Source organism: Homo sapiens, chromosome 7 (assembly GCF_000001405.40).
Source record: "Homo sapiens chromosome 7, GRCh38.p14 Primary Assembly".
Taxonomy (NCBI): domain Eukaryota; kingdom Metazoa; phylum Chordata; class Mammalia; order Primates; family Hominidae; genus Homo; species Homo sapiens.
Genome location: NC_000007.14, coordinates 13,871,493 through 13,875,185, shown reverse-complemented (window position 1 = coordinate 13,875,185; position 3,693 = coordinate 13,871,493). Strand labels below are relative to the sequence as shown.

Here is a 3,693-nt window from a genome sequence, read left to right as displayed (position 1 = left end):
AATCAAATTCAGAGAGTTGTTATTATGTTGCTCTCTCTATCTACTGGAGACATGCTTTTCTCAGAATAAAAAAAAAAAAAGACAGTTTTATGTACTCTGAATTTGGCGGATGTGTTCAGAGCTGTTGATTTAGTTGTGCAAATTACTGAAGTTTTCCCAGCACTGCTATATCTTGCTTTTTTGCCAGGATTGTGGTTTGTATTATGAAAGACTCAACCATATCTTTTTTTTCTTTTTGGAGAGTCTGTGGTATACGGTAGCAGTGACAGCAGCAAATCTGTTTCACTTTTTGTCCTCACTCAATGCTTTCCTTGGTTTAGTTAACCTCTTTCTTCTTAACTCTTCTTAAGAAAATACCTTATATGTCTTTTTAATTTTGCTTTCTATATATCTTGACACTCATTTTCAAGTATAGAAAACTAAATATTGTTCCTTGAGGAAATTTTTGCACATTTATCTTTTCGTTGCTTCATATTCTCTTTTTTTCTGTTCTATCCATGACACAAAGGAATAGCAAAACCATCACTCGTGTGCCAAGACATGTAGTTTCCCACTCAGTACTTTAGTTGTAGCAGAAAGCTATTTCTGGTATCTCTAATTGAATTCCGAGCTCCCTCCTGAAGCAGTAGAAGTGTCTCACAATCATAGGCTTGCTGAGTTCGTGTCATATCTTCTTTACTCAGTCCAGGGGGACAACACACCTCCTGGTTAGCGTGTCAAGTTCCTTCCACATTCTGCACTGACACACAAAGAAATCTGTGAATGAAATCTCTACTGGCTCATATCAGTGAAGTCTATAAAATTTAAGGAGAACAAAATAAAGAAAGAAGAATATAAATTTTAAGTGAATGCTAAAATGAGGTCAGCTGCTGAATTCAGAGAGCTGCTTATTGGACCTGGTAAAGAAAGAGCATGTTTTGTTGCTTCAGGGGAAGGATTAGTAAAAGTCACATATAACAAGTTTACCAAAAATAAGCTTATTCATTAGTGGGTTAATACAATATACAATAATAGATCAACTCCAGATACTAATTTCATCTTTCTATCTTTTCTCCCATTAAAAGTTTTGTTCTTTGCACCTACACCCCAAAATACCATTTGACCCAGCAATCCCATTACTGGGTATATACCCAAAGGAATATAAATCATTCTACTATAAAGACAACATGCATGTATGTTCATTGCGGCACTATTCGCAATAGCGAAAACATGGAATCAACCCAAATGCCCATCAGTGATAGACTGGATAAAGAAAATGTGGTATACATAAATAATGGAATACTATGTAGTCATAAAAAGAAATGAAATCATGTCCTGTGCAAGGACATGGATGGAGCTGGAAGCCATTATCCTCAACAAACTAATGCAGGAAAAGAAAACCAAATACCGCATGCTCTCACTTATAAGTGGGAGCTGAACAATGAGAACACATGGACACAGAAAGGGGAACAACACGCACTTGGGCATGTTGTGGGTGGGGGGCAGGGGCAGAGAAAGCATCAGGATAAAGAGCTAATGCATGCAGGACTTAATTCCTAGGTGATGGGTTGTTAGATGCAGCAAACCACCATGGCACATGTTTACCTGTGTAACAAACCTGAATGACCTGAACATGTGTCCTGGAACTTAAAATAAAATTTAAAAGAAAGCAACATTTCAAGAGAAAGCAAAAAGACAATAAAAAATTTTGCTCTTCGCGATGTCTCTTCTGAATTCTTCTTCTCCGCGTGTTTGTTTTGTTTTTTCTTTCTTTCTTTTTTTTTTTTAACTATAAATGTGCTTTAAAATGTCTTCTGTTTCAGGTGACTGGTGCACCAGACACATGTACTGGTTTTGAGTTGAAACAATTTTAGGATAAATAGTTGTGATTTTTAAATTCAAAATGGAATTCAGACTCTATTGGCCACTAGTAAAACATGAGTAGAAAGTAATCAACTAATTGTTTAGCTTTAACTTGGTTTATAAGTTTAGCCAATGAATTTATTACCCACGAGTAGTGTTTTACTAGTGGCCAATAGAATCTGAGCTCAGTTTGGAACTGAAAATCACAAATGCTATTTATATTATTGAGTCACAGAAGAAAAGTATTTTCTTCTTCTTCTTTTATAAAACTGGTATTTAAAAAATTTATTATTTAGTACCAGTTTGGAAGAAAGTATGGCTCAGATAGCATTCAAATGTCTCTCTGTGTTATTTTGCTCTTCTGTTTGTCATATATCAAGGACTGTTAGACAGCTTGATAACCTTATGGGTATATAATTACATTGTCAAATATTTATTCAGAATACACTCTGTATCAGATCCTGGCCAGAATTTAGAGTTTCTGTATTTGATTGGTACATTCTCTTCCACAACTCTATATCCTTGACTCCCATGGGGAAAAGGAAACACTGCAATGTAAGACTAGGACAGGAGTCTAACAGAGTAGATCAGCATAAGCTGAGATGCATACACATCAAGTTCAGAATAAATCCTGGGAAACTTAGTCCTGATCCTTCACACTACCTCTCAGTAGGGTGGTAACATGAAGAAGTCTCCAAATCAGGTGTTCTTCCAGATCAGTAATTACCTGGTTCTTAACTGGCTTCAGGGTAGTGCATCTATTCGTTTCTTTCTTTTTTTTTTTTCATTTCAAGTTTTAATCAAAGCTTGTATATAAGATTACTTTGTCCCTGCATCTTCTTAATTGTTTCTTCCTTGTATTTGCCCGTTTCCTTTCCTACTTGGTGAGATTTGGCTTTCCATTCAAGAATCTTTTTGCGGGACACAGGGAGGGGAACATCACACACCAGGGCCTGTTGGTGGGTGGGTGGGTGGGGGGCTAGAAGAGGGATAGCATTAGGAGAAATACCTAATGTAGATGATGGATTGATGGGTGCAGCAAACCACCATGGCACGTGTATACCTATGTAACAAACCTGCACATTCTGCACATGTATCCCAGAACTTAAAGTATAATAATTTTCTTTTTTAAAAGAATCTTTTTGTGGTCTTTGTCCAGTTTTAGCCTAGTGATAACCACCTTGCTGGGGTGAATGCCTCCATGGACAGCTGAGCCATTAGCTTTTTCCCGCTGTACCCATTCAATGTAGGTGACATATTTTTTCCTGTAAACCAGGACTGCTTTGCCAATTTGCTGACCTTTGTAGTGTCCTGGTACAAGCCTAACTTCATCATTCTTTCGGATGCCATGGATCGCACGTTGTACTTCTGTCTCAGCTCTTCAGAAAGTGGGGAAGACATAATCTTCCTGCGAATGTGGGAAGGTGCTTTGAAATGCCTTTTGCGGTTCTTGCTTCGGTCGGAAGTCACAAAGGGATTGAACTTCATTTTGGCTGCTCCCGCTTCAATGATGGCTGCAAAGGCACATCTATTCATTTCTAACAGTTACGTATCTTCACCTCTGTGTCATCCAGTGTAATAGATGCTCAAAATACAGAGCAGAATAAGATGAGGTCCTTGCTCTCAGAGTTTATAATGTAACAGGGGAAGCACGTCAATCAACTTATCATATAAAAAAAATACAAGACTATAAATGGAGTGAATAATTCTTTGACAGTTAGTGAGGAAGATAATACATGAGCTAGTGACTGAGTTATGAATAGAAACTCACTGGTGGTTAAACAGAGCATGATCAAAAACATGGACATGTGAAGCAAATAAAAATGAACTCATTTGCTAAATTCTAGAATT

At 37.2% G+C, this 3,693-nt stretch overlaps 1 pseudogene; it reads right to left on the bottom strand.

Annotated features, from left to right (window-relative positions):
* Window positions 2,630-3,363, bottom strand: RPL26P21 (ribosomal protein L26 pseudogene 21; annotated as a pseudogene).